This window comes from Homo sapiens, chromosome 14 (assembly GCF_000001405.40).
Source record: "Homo sapiens chromosome 14, GRCh38.p14 Primary Assembly".
In the NCBI taxonomy this organism is placed as follows: domain Eukaryota; kingdom Metazoa; phylum Chordata; class Mammalia; order Primates; family Hominidae; genus Homo; species Homo sapiens.
Genome location: NC_000014.9, coordinates 71,555,922 through 71,582,982, shown reverse-complemented (window position 1 = coordinate 71,582,982; position 27,061 = coordinate 71,555,922). Strand labels below are relative to the sequence as shown.

General features: G+C 38.0%; 1 protein-coding gene across 54 annotated transcripts in view, besides 2 other annotated features; it reads right to left on the bottom strand.

Moving 5' to 3' along the window:
* Positions 1–27,061, bottom strand: part of SIPA1L1 (signal induced proliferation associated 1 like 1) — a 420,734-nt gene that overhangs the window by 158,227 nt on the left and 235,446 nt on the right. For 26 of the 54 annotated variants that reach the window (XM_047431217.1, XM_047431229.1, XM_047431218.1 and 23 more), the window contains one exon: positions 6,396–6,448. The exons of the other annotated variants lie outside the window; for them this stretch is intronic. The gene's annotated coding sequence lies outside the window, so the exon portion shown is untranslated. The remainder of the gene's footprint in view (positions 1–6,395; positions 6,449–27,061) is intronic. 54 annotated transcript variants of the gene reach the window in all.
* Positions 18,990–19,089: an enhancer, noted in NCBI's record as "active region_8679". NCBI's record gives its function as "activates an Ori minimal core promoter by ATAC-STARR-seq in GM12878 lymphoblastoid cells {active_cell/tissue: GM12878}" and the evidence as "EXISTENCE:reporter gene assay evidence [ECO:0000049][PMID:35858748]".
* Positions 26,841–26,940: a silencer, noted in NCBI's record as "silent region_5898". NCBI's record gives its function as "represses an Ori minimal core promoter by ATAC-STARR-seq in GM12878 lymphoblastoid cells {active_cell/tissue: GM12878}" and the evidence as "EXISTENCE:reporter gene assay evidence [ECO:0000049][PMID:35858748]".

The window sequence follows — 27,061 nt, the reverse complement described above, 5'->3', positions numbered from 1 at the left end:
GCTTTCCTGAATTCCACTCACATTACATAAAAGTTGCATCTCAGACAGAAGGGATGGCTCACTCTTTCAAGTTAGCCTGAAACACATCTTAGTGCAATGTCATGGATAATTTAAGATTTATGAATCAGCGTAAAACTTTTTAGAATGGAATTTCTACCTCCTTTCATTTCTGTATTCTCCCTTCAACAAAAAGCAGGAAGAGTTGAGAAAAACAGTTGATAAATCTAGTTCCTGCTCTCCTAATGTTCACTCTCTGAAAGAGACAACACTGATGGAAACAAAGTCGAGTCAAAAAAACTTTTGGTAAAATTAACAAAGTGAATAGAAAAGTTATAGATACAAAACATGTAACATGATAAAGCTGTATTTGAATTTAGAGATAAGAAAGCAACTTAAAATGTGCCTGTTTGGACACAGGAAGGATCAAAAAGGAAAATCACATTTCCCTCCCACTCACCCTCGTAGCTAAAAAAGTTCAGTGAAGAAAGTTACGCTTCTAAGGTTTTGTTAAGCTTGAATATAGTTTGTATAGCTGAAGGTGAAGGAAAGAACACAAAAGTTTGGCAGAAAGCTTGAGGGCAGAAGAATGATAAAGAATGCGGGAACAAGTTACGTGGTGGAATAATAATATTATTATTATTACTATTTGAGACAGGGTCTTGCTCTGTCACCCAGGCTGGTGTTTGGTTGTATGATCATGGCTCACTGCAGCCTTGAACTCCCAGGCTCAAGTGATCCTCCCACCTTGGCCTCTTGAGTAGCTAGGACTACAAGCATGCCTCACCATGCTTGGTTAATTTTTAAAATTTTTTGTAGAAACAGGGTATTGCTATGTTGCCCAGGCTGATCTTTAACTCCTGGGTTCAAGGGATCCTACCAAAGTGCTGAGATTACAGGAGTAAGCCAGTGCACCCAACCCATGGTGGAATAATTGGTAAGTAGTAAATTGATGCAACAGCTGGCAAAATGAAGGAGAACAGAAGTACATGTCAATGTTTATCTCTTACATTTAAATATGACTAATCTCATGCAATAAGCACATAATAAAATATCAAAGACCTAAGTTGGGACAGCTTAAAGTAGGAAGGGCAAAAGGAGTAAAAGGTAGTAAGTAGAAAGGTAAAAGTGAAACAGAATTATTAGAGGAAAATAGTGTTTGAGGTGTGATAAGTTATAATAACACTTTAAAGGAAAACAAACCAAAAGCTCACTAACTTATTGGGGGCATTGAGAGTTTCCATGCCTGCCATCAGGATAGCAAGAGACCAGATGAGACCGAAGAAGTAAATGAGTGTTTTTATCATAATAATTGTATGATAAAATACAACTGTCATACATTTAAAATACATTAAAAAAACTTATTCACCCAATACTGTAAATTGAACAACTGATTATCAAATCAAATCTGGTATTAAATAACTTATTACCAAATATATCTGGGGAAAGAGGAATGTGAGAAATAGATGCCCCGGGACAACCAGTAAGTATCCAGCACACGGGGTAAGTGCTTGTCCTTTTTCCCAAACTATGCTCAAATTCAAGAAACCCACAGAAAAAGCATTCTATAATTAAATAAGGCAGTAATACACTGTATATATCACCTTGCTTAGGACATCGTGATATATGTTGCTCTATTAAAGCCTCCAAGAAATCTGCAGCCACAGTGGCTCACGCCTGTAATCCCAACATTTTGGGAGGCTAAGGTGGGAGGGTTTCTTAAGCCCAGGAGTTTGAGACCAGCCTGGGTAACATAGTGAGTTCCCATTATTTTTATTAAAAAGCAGAAAACACCACCACTACCACCACTAATTTTATTAAACTAAGAAATTTCTTAACTGATTTGACCATGGACTCACTTAAAAAAAAAAATCAAACATTTTATATCATGCATCCTATTGAACATAACTGGGGACAAACAGGCCCATATTTCAGAAGAATACAGGATAAAAAACTGAAAATACATTACAAATTTTGATATGTTATAGATAGACAGATAGACAGGCAGGCAGGCAGACAGATTAAAAGGGCAAAGTTAGTTCACCAAAGGACTGACAATGTTTGTCTTTTGATTATGAGTAATTTCTGTTTTTTTATTTATATTTTTTATTTTCTGAAATGAACATGTGTCACCTTCATAATCAGAAACAAAACTTATGAGAAAAAAAGCCATCTTTCTGTTGCTAAAAATATAAAATATGATCTGGGAATGCAGTATGATGACCACACGTTTAAATACTAATTCTAAGATACTATACTTTGTTAAACCTCCAGCCATTCAAATCACCAAAAAAAGTAAAAATCCAACAGATGTCAGGTCCTTCCTGTAAGATGTTCTTGTGCTAAATCCCCTAATTAAAATGAAATCACAGAAGGCTGTATAAAGTAGAGAGTACTAAAGATTATAAGATTAGCAGTATTTATAGGATTTGAATAATTATTTCACATAGATGATTAACACAATTGCTTATATCTCCTCATTTACAGATGCTTTCCTTATATTTAATATTGACATAAAAGTTCCCTTGTGCCCAGCAGCCTTCACCTTGTCCCCTCCCAAGACTGTAGTGACCTAGGAAAATCAGATGAGGGTACCTACGCAGAGCACAGGTTGCCATCATTAGTTCCCCTTTCCTGGGAAGCATCTACTTTCCTACGTATATTCTGTCCTTTTCACAGTCCTCCTTCTGCAGGATTGAGGCTAAATCTGAAGAATGTCTCTATGTGGACTCACACCAACACCCTGGAGAGCTTTACTAAAGTGCTACGTGGTATCAGTGGCTCAAGGAATCGCATACTGGGGAAGAAGAACCTGGTAGTACTGATTTTCTTCTTTGAGGGCAGAAGAGAAAGCGATGAAGTCAGATTTACATTAGATAAGCCATGAAAATTGCCTTTGATCCACATATAATGAACTCTGTAAAAAACGCAGCAGAGAATCTGCATCTCTAAGACAAATTTTCAGGCTGCTAACATTGGCGATTTGAGACAGTCACTGTCAGTGACACAGGGCGCCATCTCTATCCTCAAGTCTCTATTATCTAACTGGAAAAAGAAGACAAGTATGTAGGAAACGGGAAGGGGCTCAGTAGGAAGGAACACCACAAATGGCTTTATTAAGGATAGTGCAGTTTTCTTATTTGAATATTTATGTTCCAAAAAGAATTTAAGAAACTGCACTTGAAAAAACACGTTTAAATTTAGCTGAGGAAAAAAGTAGAAAGGAGCATAAGAACAATGGGTGAACATAATATCCAAACTATTATTAATCATGATTGATATCAACAGTAAGCATATTTCCCTTAGCAGATTTTGAAATACCACCCAAGAACCTAGAACGTAAAAGAAAAACATTAAAATTACTCCACATTGCCTTAGCATGTCCTTAAATACAGACTGCATATGGTTCCTCTGTCTGTCTGACTGTACCGTTATCTCTGAGCATAACCTCTCTCCCTCAAGGGATCTAAGACAGCAGGACTCTGTCACCCATTTCGTTTCCTCACACATGCTCATTCCTCTCCTTCAGTCCTCACCAGCACCCCAGGAGTACAGCTGACCCTTGAACAACACAGGTTTGAACAGGGAAGGCCACTTATCTGTAGATTTTTTTTCAATAAATACACTAAAAAATATTTTGGAGAACTGTGACAATTTGAAAAAACTACATAGCCTAGAAATATAGAAAAAAAAATCAGTAAAAAGTAAGGAATGTCATGAATGCAGAAAATACATGTAAGATATTAGTCTATTTTATCATTTACTACCATAGAAAATACATAAATCTACTTAAGGAGCTAAAATGTATCACAACTTATGCACAGAAAGATCATAAACGGTGCGGTCTGCAGCTGAGAGAAATGTAAACAAATGTAAAGACGTAATATTCAATCATAACTGCATACAATTAATTGTAATACATACTGTATTCCTAAAATAATTTCATAGCCATATCCTGCTGCTATTGCGGTGAGCTCAAGTATTACAATTCTCTGATTAAAAACTAATCCTCTCCAGGTGAGCAGTTCCTCTCTCTGACAAACTTCATGTCAGAGTAAAAAAGTGACCTCTCGTGGTTCTGGTGTATTTTTCACGCTTAGTAAAATACGTTAACCCCAAATAACACCATGGGACCCATATGAAGTGCCACTAGTGATGGTAAAAGTGCTCCCAAGAAGCAAAGTCAGGATTTTATAAGAAAGAGTTGGATTGTTTGATCTGTACCATGGACTGAAGTCTGCAGCTGCAGTTGCCTGCCACGTCAGACAGATGAAGTAAATTTACAGTACTGACAAATACAGTAAAGTACTGCAAATGTATCTTCCTGATGATTTTCTTAATAACATTTTCTCTTCATTAGTTTACTTACTGTAAGAACACACTATATAATACATGTAACATACAAACTATGTGTTCATTCACTGTTCATGTTATCAGTAAGGCTCCTGGTAAACAGTAGGCTATTAGTCAAGTTCTGGAGGAATCAAAAGTTATACTCAAATATTCAACTGCATTCAGGGTGGGAGTTTTGGTGCCACAATCGCTGCATTATTCAAGGGTTAACTGTATCTCCATTTTACGAATGAAGAAAGAGCATAGAGAGGTAAAGGAGTGGTCAGGCCAGGTGCAGCGGCTCACAACTGTAATCCCAGCACTTTGGGAGGCTGAGGAGGGAGGATCACTTGAGCTCAGGAGTCTGAGACCAGCATGGACTCAAACAAAGCAAGACCTCAAACAAAGCAAGACCTTGTCTCTACTAAAAAATAAAAAATAAAAAGTCCGGGAGCAGTGGCTCACGCCTGTAATCCCAGCACTTTGGGAGGCCAAGGTGGGCAGATCATGAGGTCAGGAGTTCAAGATCAGCCTGGCCCACATGGTGAAACCCCGTCTCTACTAAAACTACAAAAATTAGCCAGGCATGATAGCGTGTGCCTGTAATCCGAGGTACTTGGGAGGCTGAGGTAGGAGAACTGGATGAATCCGGGCAGCAGAGGCTGCAGTGAGGCGAGATCGCACCACTGCACTCCAGCCTGGGTGCCAGAGCAAGACTCTGTATCGGAGAAAGAAAAAATAAAAAATAAAAAAAATTAGCCAGGCGTGGTGGTGTGTGCCTGTGGTCCCAGCTATTCAGGAGGCTGAGGTGGCAGGGCTGCTTGAGCTCAGAGGTTTGGGGCTGGAATTAGCTGCCATCGGACCACTGCACTCCAGCTTGGGTGACAGAGCAAGACCGTTTCAAAAAAAAAAAAAAAAAAAAAGGCATGCCCAACAAGCCATAAAGTTAAGCAAATTGTGTATAACACAAAGTGCAGCTGGGCGCAATGGCTCACACCTGTAATCCCAGCACTTTGGGAGGCCAAGGCAGGCGGATCACCTGAGATCAGGAGTTCAAGACCAGCCTGGCCAACATGGTGAAACCCCACCTCTACTAAAAGAATACAAAAATTAGCTGGGTGTGGTGCTATGTGCCTGTAATCCCAGCTACTTGGGAGGTTGAGGCAGGAGAATCATTTGAACATGGGAGGCGGAGGTTGCAGTAAGCTGAGATTGCACCACTGAACTCCAGCCTGGGCAACGGAGTGAGATTTGTCTCCAAAAAAAAAAAAAAATAAGTGCTCACTATATAGCAGGCTCTCTCTCAATACTGGGCTAGTGGTTACAAAATTTATGGTAGAAAAACTACTTTGAAAATATAAAAGAAAAAAGGCTCCCTTATAGCCTGTGTACCACTTCTGCAGTCCAGCGCAGGCATGAATTTCTATATCCTGTGGATATGGATACAGTGAGAGAAAAAGTATTTATTGATAATTAACTTTAACTTTTTAAAAATGCTATGGTAGTCATGTCACTTTGAGAACCTTCAGTGGCTCCTCAACTGCCATGCCATTATTTTCTTTTTCTTCTTTTTTTTTTTTTTTTGCTCTGTCACCCAGGCTGGAGTGCAATAGCATGATCTCAGCTCACTGCAACCTCTGCCTCCCAGGTTCAAGCGATTCTCCTGCCTCAGCCACCCGAGTGGCTGGGACTGCAGGTGCCCGCCACCACACCTGGCTAATTTTTATATTTTTAATAGAGACGGGGTTTCACCATGTTGGCCAGGCTGGTCTCAAACTCCTGACCTCGTGATCCAGCTGCCTCGGCTTCCCAAAGTCTGGGATTACAGGCATGAGCTACTGCACCTGGCCCCTGCCATTATTTTCTTATTTAGGCCTGGATTTTAGGCCTGGAATTCAAGAGTAACTGGCACCTGCCCACAAACTGTTTCCTTCTTATATTAACAGAAGGAAACAGGCTTGCCCTAAACAAACCACTGTGCCCTCTTCATAAAGCTCTACCAAGTGACTCAGCCTGCATGAAGAATTCAATATTGACAATTTAAAACTGTAAATTATAAAGAATACCTTGTCTGAGCCCATCATTTTCCACCAGTAGTAGCCAGAAACTGTAAGTCCACCTAGGATTAAATAGCAAGTGTCAAGTCCAGGTTTACATCCAGATTTCCTCATTCCCCTACTCTTACCCTGCCTGTTGCACCATGCTGTCCTTTCAGAGCATGCTTGTTCAATAATCTGTTTCCATCCATTGTAACCAGTTATGTATGCATCAGGCACTGCTCATTATCTCACTAACTCGCTAAAGCAATCTTTAAAGAGCTATTATCTACTGCAGTTTGTACATGAAGACCCAGCAGCTTAGACGAGACTGGGTCACTGCTCGAGAGTCTGATCCCTAAGCCATGTTCCTTGTACCAGGGCACCCTCCTTTCTAAAAATGCTTCCCTTTCTGCTACTTACTGAAATTTCAAGATTCAGTCTACCTGTGGTTCAGCCTTCTCTCCCCAGTGAGACTTTCAGGCTCTTGAGGAAAAGATCTGTCCAATCCTTATCCTGAAAGCACCTAAGCTTAGTACCCTTGAAATGTAATCACTAGAAATAAAAGTTACGTGCTTTCAGCTAAAATAGAATGGAAATTAACTGATAAATTATCAGAACTTCTATTGTAATCTAAAACGTAATCATGGTTATTTCACACATATCTGTGTTGACGGAGAAATGCCAAAAACAAGTCCACATTAGCAAAATTTAATAAAGGTTTCAGCTTCATCTTTCTCTCTTGAAGAGCCTTCACAACAGTAATGAATAAAAAATAGTGGGTTTGACCTTCTCACCCCAATCCACTCATCAAAGGAGCATGAAAAACAGGCATAAAAAGGAGCAAATCTATTAAAAGATTAACAAGAAGTGACACAGAACTGGATAAAACACTGTCACAATGAAGTAACTAAAAGATAAACTAATCCACAATAGAATCGACTATTTAAAATCCCAGCAAATAAACATATTCTCACAGGACAATGGAAGGCAGTGTGGTTAATACAGCATTAAAGGGAGAGACAACTAAAACCAGAAATTTAAAACAATTACCATCAAATTAATGATGGTCAAAATAATTTTTATCTTTTACCCTCAAATAATTTTTCTCCCCACACAAGTCTCTCCTTTGCCCCTTTTCAGTCATTTTTGAACCCGGTTATATGCTTACTGAAAATTTTAATAATTGAAATAGTACAGAAAAAGTGAAAAGTATACGTCTTCTTCTACATGTCCCAATCCCAAGCCCAATGATAGTCACTCATCATAGTATACATATTCTTCCAGGCACTGTGTGTGGGCTGGGGGCACAGACAGTAAGACACTGAATGATAAGGGCAGAGGAGAGAAAGGATCCAGTGCAAGGGACAGTCAGTTCCGCAGCAACTTAAGTATTTACAGAGCCAGAAAAAGAAAGGCAAAGGGGTGGATGATTAAGAGCCAAAGAATCCACTTATGCTCACAAGCAGCAAAGGACCTCCTCCCATTCAAAGCTGATGTAAAAATGCTGGATGAAATGCTTCATATTGGAAACATTTTGAATCCTTTATTTATATCATGGTTCCGAAAATAGAGGCCCTATACAAATAATTCTGGCAACTTGTCAACAGAAATGAAAGCAGGAGCAAACAAAGTATCTTTCTTTAATGCATACCACATCCTTCCAGTTTTTTTTAAAAACTATGCACATATGCAAATATACATACATTTTATGCCTAACTTTCAAATAAAATTATTTTTAATCTAATCCCCTAAACTTAAAAATCTCTGATTTCTAAGTGAGATTTTCCTCACAAATGTATTAACTTGATCATTTAAACTCTTATTAACTAGAAAAAAAATTAATCAAAACGCAAACCAATAAAGTGTTCAAAGATAAAACCTTGTGGCAGGAAGTCTTTTTTTTTTTTTGCCAACCTTTTCATTTTTGTGACAAAGTAAAATAAATCCTCTAACTAGAATGTAAGTTTGATCTTAAAACATAGTCTTGTGTGTCTGCAATAATGCTTATTTTAAAAACTGATCACTTTGCCTATTCAAGACTGTTTATAAGGTGCATATTAGCACGAGTCTTAGCCTCCTTCGCTTAAATCCTCAAGGAGATAGCCTCTCTGTTTTTGCAATGTCAGAATTTCCTAAGTGCAAGATAAATCTCCCTAATTAACAGCCCAATCTCTCCACACTCTTCCCACCATGCTCCCTGAACCCTGAGCTCCAGTCAAAGGGAAAGGAAACCAGTTAAAATTTCTTGAATGCACCGGGTTCTCGTGAGACTTCAGGTGAAGCCAAGTGGTAACTTTTGCTGGAACACAACTCCATTCAATTCTCTTCCTTCCTCCTCCTGTTTTATTCTTATCCACCCTTTACTCCTCTAACTCTTACTCCTCCTTCAAGATTGCACTGGGGTATGTTCTCTTTCAGGAAGTTGTCCACCCCTTCCACTCCCACCCCTACCCCACCTTATTCTTTTTACAGCATCCCTTGGGATTACTACAGGAAATTTATGGTGGTTAAAAATCAAGATTTTTGTTGTAGAAATCAAAATTTCTACTTTAAATAAATCATGATTTCACTATGTGTTATTACCTTCTAACACCAGAACTGCTGCCAAGAAAAAGTGAGGAACTGTCTTTTTGAAACTTTCTGGCATCACTGCAGTTAAAACAAGTTTTAAAGAAAGAATATGTTGAACTAAGAAAAATTCTTTGACAGAACACAAGCACAAGAAAAGGCCCATCTACTGTTCTGAGTATAATAAGCATCAAAGGCATACAAATCAAAACAACACTATACACATTAGGAAAAAGTACTGGAATACCAGTAACCACTGTTAACAGTGACAAAGTTAAAATAGACATGTCGCTAGAGATAATGGATATTGTTTCATTTTAGGGGGAGAAAAAAACCATTGGCAGGTAAGCCAGAAAATATTCATGTTGTTGAGCTCTGCAATCTCTCTTTCGACATTTGGAAATGCATAGTTGTTGAAAGCAGGAGGGATTTTCCTCTGCCCAGCTCTCGGGCATCTTTCCTCCTTCAGCAGGTCCCAGGAGCTCTGCTGGTTTGCCCTTCCTTGTGCAGCTGTAGACATCCACTCTTTCTCTTGAGGTCCCAAACTTTCTCCACATCCTTGGTTCCCAAAAGACAATCAAACAGGACACACTGTGAATGCTCAGTTTTCTGATGCGCCACCCACTGAAATGTAAGTGCTTCAGGCCAGGAACTGCATCTTATTTGATTTTAGGATACTTAGTCCTTAGCAGAGGCTTAATCATAAATGTCAACCACATTTGAATAGGAAAATAGGTGGTAAAACAAACACTGAGACGTGATTTTACAATCTGTAATAATTGTCCAAAGATACTTACTGCAATGCTATTTTATTTTTAATTCGTTTATGTTTTTATCAAAGTAATATACATAGTAGTTAAAGGCAAATAGTACCACAGGCATATAAAGTGGGGGAAACCGATACTGCTTGACTCCATCTTCTTCAGTCCCAAGAACAGCCACAGCCACTTTCAATACATAGCACTGTTTCCCTCACTATTTCCTTATTCCTAAATAACACGCTCATATTGCTACTTTTTAATTTGTCAATCTTACGTAGTAAATGTTGAAGTCCTGTTGTGGAAGATGAGAAATCAGCATGCTTCCATTAAGTGTCTCTCCCATTTCCTTACCCCATTCTATGTACCTATTTATGTTCACATGTGTGTATATTAGTTATATCACATAGCTATATATATTAGGATTTACGTTACTACGGCTATATTTGCTCAGTTGCTTACTTTACTTTTCCCGAACTTAGTAACAGTTTCATTTATTTTCATTTGCTTTATTTCTATATACCTACGCTTAATTTTTCCTACATACAACATAAGAAGCAAAAAAATCTTGTTATTCTTTCCACACAGTCAAAAACAACAGATTCCTATCAATTCCATTTCTCTTCCCTGAAGAACTCTCTCCTAGGGCTCTTCTCATGCCCCAATCTAGCTGCTGATCTCTAGGTCTCCTGAAGAGGTATTCTGGGGAACATCCCACCAATCACCATCCTGACAGTTCCTTTCTTTCTCTCCTGGATGGATCCCACGTCTCCCAGATTTCATTTCTTCTTTTCTTAATTCACTCCCTCACCTGGATGGACCACTACCTTCTTCATTTAGTAACTGCCTAAGAAGGGGTGCATGGGTGGTAAAAGCTTTGAGTCTTAGCATGCCTAGCTTTAAACTGACTGATGGTTGGCTGGGCATAAAATGACAGGTAGTAAAACATTTGCCATTAGAATTTTCAAGGTTGCTATGGTCCGAATATTTGTACCCTCCAACACTCATGTTGAAACTTAATCCCCAGTGTGGCAGTATTGAGAGGAGAGGCCTTTAAGAGGTGAGTGAATTATGAGAGCTGTCCTTGTGAATGCTTAATCCAGTCACAGATTAATGGGTTAATGGATTAATGGGCTATCATGGGAGTAGAACTGGTAGCTTTATAAGAAGAGGAAGAGAGACCTGAGCTAGCAAGTTAGGAGGCTCAGCCCCTCAGCATGTGATGCCCTCCATCGCCTTCTCGGGATGCTGCAGAGTCCCCACCAGCAGCAGCTGGACCTTGGACATCTCAGCCTCCATCTGTGTGAAATAAATTCTTTTTAAAAATAAACTATCCAGGCCAGGCACGGTGGCTCACGCCTGTAATCCCAGCACTTTGGGAGGCTGAAGCGAGCGGATCATGAGGTCAGGAGATCAAGACCATCCTGGCTAACACGGTGAAACCCCATCTCTACTAAAAATACAAAAAAAAAAAAAAAAATGAGCCAGGCATGGTGGCAGGCGCCTGTAGTCCCAGCTACTCCGGAGGCTGAGGCAGGAGAATGGTGTGAACCCGGGAGGCGGAGCTTGTAGTGAGCCGAGATTGTGCCACTGCACTCCAGCCTGGGTGACAGAGCAAGACTCCATCTCAAATAAATAAATAAATAAATAAATAAATAAACCATCCAGTTTCAGGTATTCTGTTGTAAGCAACAGAAAATGGACTAAGACAAAGGTATTATTTCATTAACTTCTAGCTTTTACTGTTGGAACTGAGCAGCCCAAAATAGTCTGATTCCAGTTTTTTTTATGTTATATGCTCTTTTCTGGATTTTTTTTAGGATCATCTGTTTAATACTGGAGTAGTCTTTGTGTTGTTCTTTTTATGGTCCTTGTACTGGACACTCAGTGGACCTTCACAACTTTCAGTTGAGTAAAATTTTATTTTATTACTCTTTGATTAATTCCTTTTCCTTCCCATTCTTTGTTCTTTCATTCTGTAAATGTTCTATTCATTGGACACTGGGCCACCTGAACACTTTCTTATTTTTTTCTCCTGCACCCTCCATTTCTTTATCTTTTTCTCTTAGGTATTTGAGAGACTTTTTAAAACATCGTTTTCCAACCAGATTATTTAATCTTTCACATTGATTCTTGGGCTCAATTTTGAAGAAATTTTGTGTTCTCTGTTTCTTCCGTTTAAAAAAATCATTCTGGCCAGGTGCAGTGCCCCATGCCTATAATCCCAGCACTTTGGAAGGCCAAGACAGCTGGGTCACCTGAGGTCAGGAGTTCGAGACCAGCCTGGCCAACAGGGTGAAACCCCGCCTCTACTAAAATACAAAAATTGGCTGGGTGTGGTGGTGCGCACCTGTAATCCCAGCTACTTGGGATTACAGGTGGCTGAGACAGGGAGAATTGCTTGAACCCAGGAGGCAGAGGTTACAGTGAGCCGAGATGGTGCCACTGCACCCCAGCCTGGGTGATAGAGCGAGACTCCATCTCAAAAAAATAAAATAAAAAATCATTCTATTCTTGTTTCATGAATGCAGTATTTTCTCTCGTCCTTCTAATAAACTAATTTTTTATGTTTCCATTTCATCTTCAGTATCTTATATTCCCCAAATTTACTTTTCTTCTGTTTTGTTTTCATCACTGTCTTTTACATGCTAAGTTTTGCTAATATGTCTGCTATAACTGGCTATCCTTTTGTATTTAAAATTGAGGCATTAAAATAGCAGACTGGGCCAAGCACAGTGGCTCACACCTGTAATCCCAGCTCTTTGAGAGGCCAAGGTGGCTGAATCTCTTGAGCTCAGGAGTTCAAGACCAGCCTAGGCAACATGGCAGAACTCTATCACTACAAAACTTTAGCCAGGTGTAGTGGCGTTCACCTGTGGTCGCAGCTACCTGAGAGGCTGAGGTGTGAGGACTGCTTTAGGCTGTGAGGTGGAGGTTGCAGTGAACCGAGATCATGCCACTACACTCCAACTTGTGTGACAGAGTGAGACCTCATCTCAAAAATAAATAAATAAATAAATAAATAAAGATAAATGGATTTTAAAAAAGAAAAAAGAAAAAAAATAGTAGACTGAAGCTCTGTGTGAGGCACGGCTTGTTGACTACTAAGTAGACTTCATGAAAGGGACTAAGTAGAGATCTAGTTGGTTTACCTGGGGAAACTGGATAGAGGGGAAAACACTATGACTTCCTAACATCTGCTTATCCTCTAAACTTTGTATCTACATCCAGGGAATCACCTCTCCTTTCGTTATACAAAATCTGCCTTCCATAGTAGAAGCTAAAAATGCCACAATGTTACTTAACATAGCCGTTCTTACAGACAGGGTGCAGACACACAGTCAGCCCCTCAGCCAATGAGACATGCATGTCCTGGACTCTGAATCAACAGTAGTGTCTAAAGAAAGCAGGAAAGAGGCGAATCCATTTACATGGAAGGTGGTGGCAGAAGCAGTGCCAATGCTGCACACTGACAACCTCAGGCAAGTACTGACAGTGGCAATGTCAAGCCAGACATCCAGTGTTCATGGGCAACACCACACCAGCCTACTTGTGGGAACGAGTGTTGTCTTGGCTACCTGGCCTCCCTTGTTTTTCCTATTTTTCGAACCCAGTTCTACAGCCTTTCCAGTGATTCTACAAGCTACTAAATATTATTACCATAAATTCCATTCCTTCTTAAATCAGACAGAGGGTTTCCCCTTCTATACTGGGGGACCCACAAATGCCATATTTGTAGTTCATTTCTAGGATACATTTCAGTGTCTCTGAAGAAGAATGGTTCCACTTCCCGTCTGACTGCCAGCATCCTGGGAACAAATCTCAGCAACAAAGGTTTCAAATAATTCCTATTTCCAGAGCCTCTATAATTACACTATGGTTAGGGAAAGGACCCCAAGTATCTACTTAAAACTAATTCCACCCCTTAGTGCAATCCTCCCAGCTACTTGGGACCCTCCAATCCTGGGGTTGCAGAGAGTCAACATTTTTTGGAATCCCTCAGTAAAGCCATTCAAGACACTCTTTTCACGTCACTAAATTAGTTAAATTAAAATTCATGCCCCTCTCTCTGGTGACAAAAATGGTGTTGATCATTCAAATCTGCTCCTATGTCTTTCCCCCTTACCTGTCTTCATACATTTTTTTTATATTCCTTGAGTAACACTGGCATAGGGCTTGATGAGGGAAAGTAAATAACTACACATGTTCAATGCAACGTATTTAACTGGAAACTGCTACACGATAAAACTGAAAACTATTGATTATAAAATATTTGACATATGCAAAAACATACCAGCCATCCAGATTTAATAACTATTAATCTGTCAAGTTTGCTGCACATCAAAAAGGAAAGAAACATTATGAATATAGCTAAAATATCAACTTCCCATCCCATGCTTCTCCTGGCCTCTCCAGAGGAACTGTCTTCCTAAGGACAGTATGCATTCTTCCGACACACATTTTGTTAAACTTTTACAAAACGGAAATGGACCCATAATAGTACTGTGTGTTTATGAAATTTATATAGATGGTATCATTTGGAATGTATCCTTTTGCAACTTTCTTTTTTCACACAAAATTATTATCAGGATTTGGCTTCTCTGTCTATGGAGCAGCCATTCCTCTTTCATTCCTTTACTTGCTTAATAAACTTGCTCTCACTTTACGGATTCACCTCGAATTCTTTCTTGCACAAGATCCAAGGACCCTCTCTTGGGGTCTGGATTGGGACCTCTTTCCAGTAACATCTTCCTAGCGAACCAAGGAGGAACTATGCTAAGGAGACCTCTGACCCAGAGGAAACAGTGCAACACCAATTGGTCAACTCTGGATACCACCTTTTGTCAGAACTCAGGCTTGTGAATGGCCCTCACCATACTGATGCTTTCTGACTGAGCTCCTCTATTCCCTGGATACAAGACACCCTAACAGTTTGGCAAGAATATCATCACACCTATTCGGCCTGAAGAAGTTACAAAAGATGGATTTTTGTCCCTCTACAACCCTTAGGATTAAGGGTTCCCTTGTAAAAGGGAGGAGAGAAATATGTCAGAGGTGTTCAAACCTGAGCGACTCCATCTTGTATAGAGGCTGGGTAAAATGAGACTGACACCTATGGGCTGCATTTCCAGGAGGTTAGGCATTCTAAGTCACAAGATGAGATGGGAGGTCAGCACAAGATACAAGTCTTTAAGACCTTGCTGATAAAACAGGTTGTGATAAAGAAGCCAGCCAAACCCCACCAAAACCAAGATGGCAATCAAAGTGACCTCTGGTTGTCTTCACTGCTCGTTATACGCTAATTATAATACATTAGCATGCTAAAAGACATTCCCACCAGCACTACTGCAGTTTACAAATGCCATGGCAACATCTGGAAGTTGTCCTATATGGTCTAAAAAGGGGAGGAACCCTCAGTTCTGGAAATTGTCCACCTCATTCCCAGAAAACTCATGAATAATCTGACCCTTGTTTAGTATATAATCAAGAAATAACTATAAGTTTGCTCCATTGAGCAGCCCATGCTGCTGCTCTGCCTATGGAGTAGCCATTCTTTTATTCCTCCAGCACTACTGCAGTTTACAAATGCCATGGCAACATCTGGAAGTTGCCCTATATGGTCTAAAAAGGGGAGGTACCCTCAGTTCTGGAAATTGTCCACCTCATTCCCAGAAAACTCATGAATAATCTGACCCTTGTTTAGTATATAATCAAGAAATAACTATAAGTTTGCTCCATTGAGCAGCCCATGCTGCTGCTCTGCCTATGGAGTAGCCATTCTTTTATTCCTTTACTTTCTACATAAACTTTCCCTCACTTTAAAAAAAAAAATTACTATCAAGATTTCTCCACGTTGCTACAAAAAGTTATAGATCCTTTATAAACGGCTTCTGTTTTTCCATTTTTTGCATACACCAGAATTTGTTGACTGATGTCTAGATTTCCAATTTTTTGCTATTAAAAACAATGATAGGAGGAACCTTCCTTTCACATCTTCTTTAGAAACATGCAAAAGTCTCTCTAGAGAGCTCTAGAATGGGAACTGCTGAAAGTTTAAGTTGGAGCATCTTTCAACATCCTTAGAGAAAGTCAAACTTCACTCCAAAGTTGTAACAATTTTACAACTCATAGTAATGTGTGGGGGGCCCTGCTTGCTGCCACAGCTTTGCTTTTAAATTATGACTAATATAAGAATATAAAGTGTTATCTTGTTGCTTTCATTAGGCTTTCCCTGATAATTAGAGAATTTTAATTTGTTTACTGATCTTACCCACTTATGTTCTGTCCATTTTTCTAATAGGTCTTTTTCTTCACTGTTACTGATAAGGTAGAATTCCTTTATATACTATGGATATTAACCCTTCATTAGACATATACGTCTGACTTTATTCGCAGAGTCTGTACCTTGTGTTGGCTTTTGTTTAAAGTGTATTTTTTATATATCTGTATTTGAAAATTTTAACATGGTAAGATTTGTAATTGGGTGTTTTGCTCTAAAGGCCTCCCAATCACCAATATCATACAGATGTCTTCCCATATTTTCTTCTAAAAGTTTAGAAATGTTCCTTTAAAATAGGATTAAATGGCTTTAATTCATCTAGAATTTACAGGAATATATTTTTATCATACTGTCCCACCACTACTTCTTAAATAGCCATCAATACTTTTGAATTACTGACTTGTATACAATGTCAAAAACAAGTTCCCGTGCATGTGGAGGTCTCTTTTTGTGGTCTCTCTTCTGTTTTGATGGTGCATTTCTCTCTCCGTGTGCTAATGCCACACCAATTCAAATGCCACAGCATTATAATACATCCTGCTAACCCCATTAATTCTACTTCCTCGGCTAATTTTAGAATCACTCTGTCAAGTTTCATGCCAAACACTCTTGGTTCTGCTGTTTCGTTTTTGAATTGCACAAATTTATAAATTAGTTTAGGGAACTTTAAATTATTTTTAATATTGAGACTTCCCACTCAGTAACATATACAGCTCCTATTTATTTAGATCTGCTTTAATAACTTTTAATTCATAAGGCCATTACATATCTTCTGCTAGGTTATTATAAAGTAAATTATTTTATTTTGTGACTAAGATCATTCATGTGATCATATTTTCTAATATACCGTTACTGGTGTACTACAAAACTATTGGGTTTTTTTGTTTATTTACTTCATATCTAGTAATCTTACTGAAGTCTTATTAGAGTTAATATTTTGATGATTCTCTTTAATTTCCCTAGTTAGACACTCATGTCATTTTCAAAATGACAATGTTTTTCTTTTGTTGTCTTATTGAGTTGGCTAGTAGTTAACATGGCCTAAATTTAAGATATAATGTTAAATTTAAAAATAAATATATTACATTCTACTCTGTGAACACATATTTATATATGCAAAAGCACAAGGACTTCAGAGGAATATGGAAAAATAGAAAGTTAATTTTTTGGAAGGATTTTTTTTATAAATATTTTCTATAAAGGAGTTTTCCAAAAACTGTAATTACTTTGGAAGTAATACACAGGAAATTACATACACCCCATAATTTTTATTAAAAGTAATGAGAGATCAGTAAGAAAGTTATAAAAACATGGCCAGAATATTTAAAGGAGGAGTAAATCTTACCATATGTGGATATTTATTTATGCAATGATACAGGATTTGACAACCCAAATGACTATTGCATATAATCCACCACCTTCACTAAAGGACATGGCAAGGAGTTTGTTACAGATTATATTATTATATTTCTTACTGCATGACTTTAGTGTGGAAAAGATATTATACTTTCAAAATTATTCTTGAAATGCAATTAATTTTTGCTTGATTACAAAATTCATGGAAGGTGGAACCTTCGGTAAAATCTCTAGGCAGGCCTACCAAACCCCTTCCCAAAACCAAATTCAGTATCTCTGCAATTAAGAGCACATAAGGAAAATAACTTCAAAAAAGTCTCCTGTAAGACAAGGTCTCCAGAGCCTAGCAAATTACTAAGAAGAAAACCAACAAAAACAACACCTGACCCAACTGAAAAGGTTGTGTTATATAAGACAGACAAAAATTGATCAACAGAATGAAGGGAAAATTGTTGGAGAGATCATGTGAATGGAAGACATTAGGATAAACATGAAAAACAAGACACTAGGATAAAAATGAGAATTTCCAAATACAAACTCCAAAAGAAGAAAATATTAACAAATAGAAAAGAGCCAATGTTCTTCAGAAGAGGACACACTTTTCTATTCCACATTCTCACCAACTTAAAATTTTTGTCAATCTGATCGTGTGAAACCAAGTACTCTTTATAGGGACAGAAACAGCAGGCATGGTTCACTGGATGAAGAGAAAAGACCAAAAACATACCTTTAAGTGAGGAATTAAAGTATGGAAAAGTAACGATAAGAACCTGTGAAAGTAACTAGTACTTATTTTACTATTAAGTTGACAGCTACACTAAGCGGAGAAAGAGCTAAAGAAAGAAGAAAGAAAATGCCAAGGATGGCCGGGCGTGGTGGCTCACTCCTCCAATCCCAGCACTTTGGGAGACCAAGGCGGGCGGATCACAAGGTCAGGAGTTCGAGACCAGCCTGGCTAACATGGTAAAATCCCGTCTCTACTAAAAATACCAAAAAAATTAGCCAGGCGTGGTGGCACATGCCTGTAATCCCAGCTACTTGGGAGGCTGAGGCAGGAGAATTGCCTGAACCCCTGGGAGGCAGAGGTTGCAGTGAGCCAAGATCGTGCCACTGCACTCCAGCCTGGGCGACAGAGTGAGACTCTGTCTCGGAAAAAAAAAAAGAAAGAAAATGCCGAGGATAAGAAGTCAGGACATCAAGGAAGAGGAAGAAGACTACACATTTTTCTAAATGGAGTACCTGCTGAAACAAAAGCAGACCTCCATGTATGTTTAAAAAAAAAAAAAGAAGAAAAAGAAAAAAAAAGTCACAGAAATACATTCATTTATGCACATTATACCCAAGAAAAGTATAGAGAGTATAACTTTAAGTTATAAAAGAAAATAGTATTAAGAAGGAAAATGAGGCCAGATATTGCAGCTCATGCTTGTAATCTAAGCACATTGGGAGGCTGAGGCAAGAGGATCGATTGAGCCCAGGAGTTCAAGACCAATCTAGAAAACATAGCAAGACTCCATCTCAAAAAAACAAATTTAAAAATTGGCCAGGCATGCTGGTACACGCCTGTAGTCCCTACTACTTGGGAATTTGAGGTGAGAGGATCCCTTGAGACAGAAGGTGGAGGCTGCAGTGAGCTGTGTTCGTGCCACTGCACTACAGCCTAACAGAGTGAGACTCCAGTTTTTTAAAAATAAAAAAGGAAAATGAGAAAAAAACATAACTAATATCTACTGAGCACTTTCTGTATGCCACTTTCTGTATGACTGTGGAAAGCACACTGCAGTATAAGAAGAAAATGCCTGGAAATATACATACAGTGCAGTAAGAATACACAGGACCACTGCCTAAGATTGCTGGAGAGTTACGAAAACTTTCACAAAGAAAACAGTGGAGCTGAAACTCTGAGGTAAAATAGGACAAACCTAGGAGACAGAAGTTCAGTAAAGAAGATAGTGTGTGCTATAGCAGAAAGGAATGAATTGAAATCCACTGCATTGTGAGGTAGTACAGAATAATAATAGGATTGAGAACAGAAGCAATGAGATAAATAGGTCATGAGAAGTAGCTTAGTTCAGATGTTACACTCAAAATCATTTGAAGATATAAAAGGAAATGTCATGTCCAATAAATCAAAAGGCACTGACTGTAATTCTTAAGGAGTCATAGTTTTAAAAAACACCTTAGTAATATAAGTGCAAAAACAAAAGCAAATTACTTTAACTTATTAAAAGAACCTCAGTTTGTATTAAGAAAGAAAATACGAAATCCAAGATGTACAAACCAAAAGAAGACAGAAAAAATTTTAAAGAAGATATTTAACAAAATCGTGTTAAAAAAAAAAAACGAGGAGGTACTATTATTGTCAAGTTTAAAAGAAAAACATCAAGCTAGATGCTATGATAAAAGAAGTATTTGTACTAAAACATGACATTTTATGTCAAGTAGTAATAAATAAAATCAAGACAAAAACTGAGATATAAAAAGAGAAATCAACTGAAACGAATCACAATAATTAGACAAATATTTATTGTATGTCTACTCTACGCCAGGTATTATTCTTAGTACCCAGACTACAGCACTGGTCAAACTGACAAAAGTCCCTGCCTGCCTTCCATGGAGTTACAGTCCAGGGAAACAGGCAGACAACAAATAAATAACAACATTTTTTGACATGCTACAAAGTGCTATGAACAATAATAAAGCAAGAAAGGGGGCCACGCCTGTAATCCTAGCACTTTGGGAAGCCGAGGCGGGCGGATCACTTGAGGTCAGGAGCTCAAGACCAGCCTCACCAACATGGCAAAACCCCACCTCTACTAAAAATACAAAAAATTAGCCGGGTGTGGTGGCAGGTGCCTGTAATCCCAGCTACTTGGGAGGCTGAGGCAGGAGAATTGCTTGAACCCGGGAGTGGAAGTTGCAGTGAGCTGAGATTTTAATTTCCTGATTAAATTAAGAAGTCACACATTATATGTTCCATACACATGGAAAAAAATACAAATAACAAAACATGAAATAAAAACCAGCAGGTTATCCAACGAATTCTGGGTTAAATAGGATGCCAATCTTAACATGCAAGTTACTGAAAAAGCTATTCTATTAATTGAGCATTTATTATGTGCTGAACACTTTAATAGCAACTTTGGATACATTATTGATGTACACAAATGAAGTTTTAGGCAATATTAGTAAATCTGTTAATAATCCATATAACTAAAACATGAAAAAAGTGTAAAAATCATTTAACAGACACAAAGTAAGCATTTAATAATAAAATTCTACATGAAGTTTCTTATGGGTTCTATTTTTGATAAACACACTTATTTTAAACAACAAAAAATTATTATTATTATAAAGACTGGGTAATTTACTATGTCCTAAAATGAAATGATACAAATATTAGGGAAAAATAAACAAAAGTATCATTTTTTTTCTGATGTCATAGATATGATACTTGTTATACTGACCATAGTATCCCCAAGAGTCTAATGCACTATCAGGCACATAGATTGAGACAATATAGTATATATATTATGAATAAAATATATAATTACTTACATTAAAAGTTTACACAAATTGTTCAGAAAAAATATTAATAGATCTTTGTGAGGTGACGTCTATGGCTAACAAATATTCTACACCAAGAATGTATCATTTTACAACGTGAAAAAATATACTGTGTTACTTAAGAAAGTAACAGACTAATCAAGAACAGAAGAATGCCATTTACAAGAGGAAAAAAAATAAGTAGGAAATATTTAGCCTGGGCCGGGCATGGTGGCTCACGCCAGTAATCCCAGCACTTTGGGAGGCTGAGGCAGGCAGATCACCTGAGATCAGGAATTTGAGACCAGCCTGACCAACATGGTGAAACTCCGTCTCTACTAAAAATACAAAATTAGCTGGGCGTGGTGGCACATGCCTGTAATCCCAGCTACTTGGGAGGCTGAGGCAGGAGAATGGCTTGAACCCAGGAGGAGGAGTTTGCAGTGAGCCGAGACCATGCCATTGCACTCCAGCCTGGGCAACAAGAGTGAATGAAACTCCATCTCAAAAAGAAAGAAAATATTTAGCCTTACTACCATAAAAGAAATTCAAAGTAATTCTTCACTTGTTAATTAACAAAAAAATTTTTAATTGCCAATAATCAATGCTGGGGAAATTGACAGAAAAACTTTTATTTTTATATCTTGCTGGTGGGCACTGCGAATTAATGCTATTGGATTGTACAATGCTATTGGATTGCGATCAGCTAAATGTTTCAAAAGACATTAAAATATGAAGAATCTAAAGAAAGTAATATACAACATTAAAAATAACCTATATAAAGATGGAATTATAGCATTGCTAATGGCAGCACAAAATGGAACTAAATGTATAACTGGGAAATGATTAAGTACATTGTGACACCAAAGCAATTTTTAAAGTACTATACTACATGGGAAAAATTTTATGATATGGTAAGCCTAAAAAGTGGAATATAAATGTATATATATGATGATCATTGCCCATGTTTTTTGAAAATGAATCTTCAAGCCATTTTAATTACAAATAAAACAAAATTAATCTTCTAGAGAGCTACTAAAAAGAACTCTTTTTAGAAAGCATAAATTCATTAAATAGCTTTCAAATTTCAATTTTAGAGTGTTATGACTCAATTCCCATTTCATCATATACTTAATAACAAGGAAGTCTCTAAAACACAGTATTTGCTATCCTAATATCTAAATCATCCCCTACAATGACAGGATATGTATGACTACAGAAGAATATCTGAAGAACCTGAAAAAAAATCCCTAATTTATTCCAGAAGACCAAGAATCAAGAAGTCAAAATGCACAGGGCTTCTAAGTTTATCTAATACATACTGTCCTCACTCCAGCAGGTATGGAAGACACAGTCCATTAACTAACCCATACTGTTCTCCCAATTCTTTACTAACAACAGATTCTCAAGTTGTTCAGGTGGGTGTGGGACACCTTGGTGTGTCCTAGAAGATACATCAGGAATTTTCTAAATTTTCTAATGGACTCTTTTGCCCTGTGGCCATGGACTGGTTTAGGGGTAACTAGTCAGGAACAGATTAGTCCTAAATCAGGACTAATGAAAAGTAAACAGAAGCCTGCAACACTCTTTAGCTTTCCTGATAAAAAGGGACTGATTCACCTAGCCTTTACCTGCTACCTTCTTACTCCCCCTTCTTCCTCCTGGAGTACATGGTACCTAGAAGAGCAACAGCCATCTTATCATTCATAAGACTAGCATGAGGAAAGATACCAACACAATCAAGGAAAAAGCTCCAGGGTCTCTTGTGGCATCACTGAACATGTGTAACAGCCCTGGACTGTTGATTTCTGGGGCTACTTTTTATGTGGGAGAATTAATTTCCTTTTGCTTATGCTACTAGAGAGGTTTTCTAATGCTTGCAGATGACTGCATTCCTGACACAAGTAAATCTGAATAGGTAAATATGAATTTTATTCACAAATACTTAACAATTTAATTTTTACTAAAAGTAGACAATATTTTGATCAAAGATAAAGTTTAAACAGAAGTTTGCAAGTAGAATGAAGAAACGAATGAACACATTAATGGTAGGTAGATTACAGTAGGGTCTTAAGATGCATCTTTAAATTCAGTTACAATAATCAGAGTCCACTAAAAAATATACAAATATCTTACATATGGAGCATAAATTTAGTGTGTTAATGAAAAAGTCTCACTCCCCCAGCCTATTTTTCAATGATTATTCAAGGACAAGTTTTCCATGTCAAGTCCAGTTCAGTAACATGAAGTGAAACTTTATACAAAAAAAAAAAAGTTTATATAATTCTACTTTGAATGGGAATAAACTTATTTTTTCAATAGTTAGAAAACATGCTTTTGGAAATTTTAAGAATTACATTTTAATTTCGTAGAAAAAATGCAGAAAAGTTTTTATTCTGTTCACAACCATAGATCAGGTTAAAAGCATACTCATGATAAATCAGGAACCAGGTCAAAATCTTTTGGCTTTAAAAACAATTGTTCTTTTTATTACTCTATACTTATTTGGCAGGTAAAGAAAATGTTACAGTGTTTCACATAACATCTCTATGAGACCCTTACCACCATAAATGATAAAATCATGAATGCTTGACAATATTTTACAACAATCCTGGCATAAAATTTTTCTGGGAGAGTCCAATGCCACTGGGCAGGGGAAAATCTATAAAAAGTACCTATTATTAAGAAAAGTTGGAAAAACTTCCTTTTGATGCCTTTCTCTACAAAAAGTAAAGCTGAGGCTGGGCACAGTGGTTCAAGACTATAATCTCAGCACTTTGGGAGGCCGAGGCGGGCAGATCACCTGAGGTCAGGAGTTCAAGACCAGCCTGGCCAACATGGCGAAACCACCTCTCTACTAAAAATACAAAAATTAGCTGGGTCTGGTGGCGCATGCCTGTAATCCCAGGTACTCGGGAGGCTGAGGTAGTAGAATCGCTTGAACCAGGGAGGCGGAGGTTGCAATGAGCTGAGATAGCGCCACTGCACTCCAGCCTGGGAGATAAGAGTGTGACTCCATCTCAAGAAAAAAAAAAAAAAAAGTAAAGCTGAAATTACGATTGAGTAGAAAATGAAAATGTTGACATCTGCTGCTAGTTTGCATGCATCAAAATGCTTCGGCAAGGCCAAGTGCCCTGGCTTACACCAGTAATCCCAACATTTTGGGAGGTCAATGCAGGAGGATCACTTGAGGCCAGGAGCTTGAGATCAGCCTTGGCAATACAGCAAGACCGTGTCTCTACAAAAAATAAGAAACTTAGCCAAGTGTAGCGGCGTGCACCTGTAGTCTCAGCTATTTAGGAGGCTCAGGTAGGAGACTTGGTTGACCCTGGAGGTTTGAGTATATAGTGAGCCATGACTGTGCCACTGTACTTCAGCCTGGGTGACAGAGCAAATCCTGTCTCTAAAAAAACAAAAACAAAATGCTTCAGGAAATTAAAAAGAGACTCCCAGATTATCTAGATTCACAAACTAAACCTACATCAGCAAACTACCTAAGTGCACATATGCCCGTTCAACAGCAACCACGGCTTTCACCAGCCTTCCACGCCATTTCTGATTACAGTTCTGGTTACAGCCAAGTGAAAACAGAGAGAGTGGTTAGCTAAGGCTCTTTAGTAACCTTCTCCCAGGAGAGAAATCTACCTTGAAACATGATGGAGCTCTCCACTGTCTGTAGTTTCCTACTGTCTCCTAAAAACCTATCACTCTTGATGTTATCCAGAAAATTAATGGCAAAGGTAAACCCAGGTTCATCTTTAGAAAAACAATGCTCTCTATATAGTCATGAGATCACCAAACATCTCATACAATGGCTGGTAAATTCTAGGTACTCAAGCAGAAGTATTTCTTTTTCCTATAATTTTAAGTCCGTGCCCTGATATTCACTCAACAAATATCCATTATTCCATAAATATTTGAGGCATCATTCTACATGCTGAAAATACTGCCCTAAAAATGTTTATATTTACTTTGAGAGACAGACAATAAACAAACATATGATGTAAGAGTATCACTACATACTTAGGCTTTAAATTCAATAAAATATTTTTTTACCTATGTCACCTGGAATGCCAACAAGAATATTACTTCTAAAAGTGAGTTTTTGGTGTAAAAATCATGAGACAACTGATTTAAGTATCACAAACCAACACTTAATAATTACCTACGATGTAAGTTAGCAATATTCATTTTCCAGCAAATTGGAAGCATTTTCACTTCAATGGATTTATATATTTCTAAAAAATTGAACTTGTACAAATTAGAAATATAGCAGTTATCACCATAAACTATGTTGGCAGTCAACTTGAGCCTAATGCTACAATCCATAACTATCACAGGAAAGTAAGGTAGGTTTTTTTATATCAGTTACATCTGAAAAGAGTCACAATTTCTGGGCCTCTTAAAGTATGAACTCACATAGGAGTCAATCATGACTAGTTTAATTTTATTTTACTTTGTTCATTTTCATATTTGTATTCAATAAGGTACTTTCGCAACGATCCAAATGTAACAGAACCACAGATTAACACAGAATTAAACAGGCACTCACATCTCAAGTACCACATCAAAGCCAAAAGTTAACAATTAGTGCAAGTGGCCCCTTTGTGCAGAGAACTACAAAAATACAACCTGTAGTAACCATGATCAGCAGCAAAGTGCTCCTAATTCTCAAATAGTGGATTTCTTTTCTTATGAAATTAATGGGTGGTAAGGACTTAGTTTGAAATTAATAAAATATCAGGGAAAAAATGTGATATCTAATGGGGAAACATTTTCCATGAGCAAAACTAATGAAAGAAATCACAAAAGAAAACATTGACAGATTTGGGTACATGAAACTTTTAAACATCTGTACATTAAAAGGCAAACCAAATACTAGTTTAAAAAATACCATAAATACAACGCAGACTGAATACACTGAATATATGCAAAGATTTGTGAAGGAAGATAAAATACTAAGATTCCAAAAGAAAAATGGGAAAAGAAGTATTAATGGGTATGGTGTTATGATAGCTATATTGGTTTTTGTCCACAGTTCCTAGCTCCTAACTCCCACAGTCCTTGTTATAATGCTGGGGTACTTTAGGCCTCAGGAAACAGAATCTCTCTCTCTCTGACCTCCTGTCCTTTCACCTGCCCAAGGCAGGGCTCTAATCTGATTGTGGATCAAAAGACACTCATTCCAGAGAGTCCTGCTCCATATCCTACGGGAAGGAAAGCTACACAGAAAGGCCAAGAAAAGTCTGAATAGACAGGCCTTGCTGGATTTAGATAATGTGCTTTTTGTCCAATCACATTTCTACACGGTTGTCAACCAGGCCATGTAATAAAACCTCCTTGTATAAAAACCCAAAGGACCAGGTTTGAAGAGCTTCTGGAGAGGTGAACATGTAGAAGTTCTTGGAAGGTGGCACGCCAAAGGAGGGCACGGAAGCTCCGTGCTCCTTCCCTGATACCTTGCCCTACACAACGCTTCATCTGAATCCTTTGTAATATCCTTTTAAATAAATCAGTAAACATGTTTCCCTGAGTTCTGTAAGCTGCTCCAGCAAATTAATTAAACCCAAACATGGGGTTGTGGGAACACCAACTTAAAGTTGGTCAGTCAGAAGTCTGGAGGCCTGGATTTACCAATGATGTCCAAAGATGTAAGGGGCAGTCTTGGGGACTGAGCCCCCAACCTGTGGAATCTGACACTATCTTAGGGTGGATAGTGTTGGAACTGAATTGAGAACATCCAGCCAGTGTACGCTGTTTGGCATGTGGAGAAAAAAACCCACAGCTTTTGTCACAGAAGTGTTTTCTGTGTTGATGATTGTCATGGTGGTATGAAAGCAGAGGAAAGACACGGTTTGAGAGTTTTTCTGAAACAGTAGGCAATTCACAAAAGAAAAAATTGGTTAAACATTTGAAAAATGTTTCTGTTCAATAAATACAATACAGGCACACCTCATTTTATGGCACTTCACTTTATTGCACTTTGCAGGTGTTTTTTTTACAAATTGAAGGTGTGAGGCAACCCTGCATTGAGCAAGTCTGTCAGTGCTATTTTTCCAACAGCATGTGCTCACTTCCTGTCTCTGTGTCACATTTTGGTAATTCCCACAATATGTCAAACTTTGTCATATTATTACATCTGTTTTGGTGATTTCTAATCTGTGATCTTTGATGTTACTACTAAT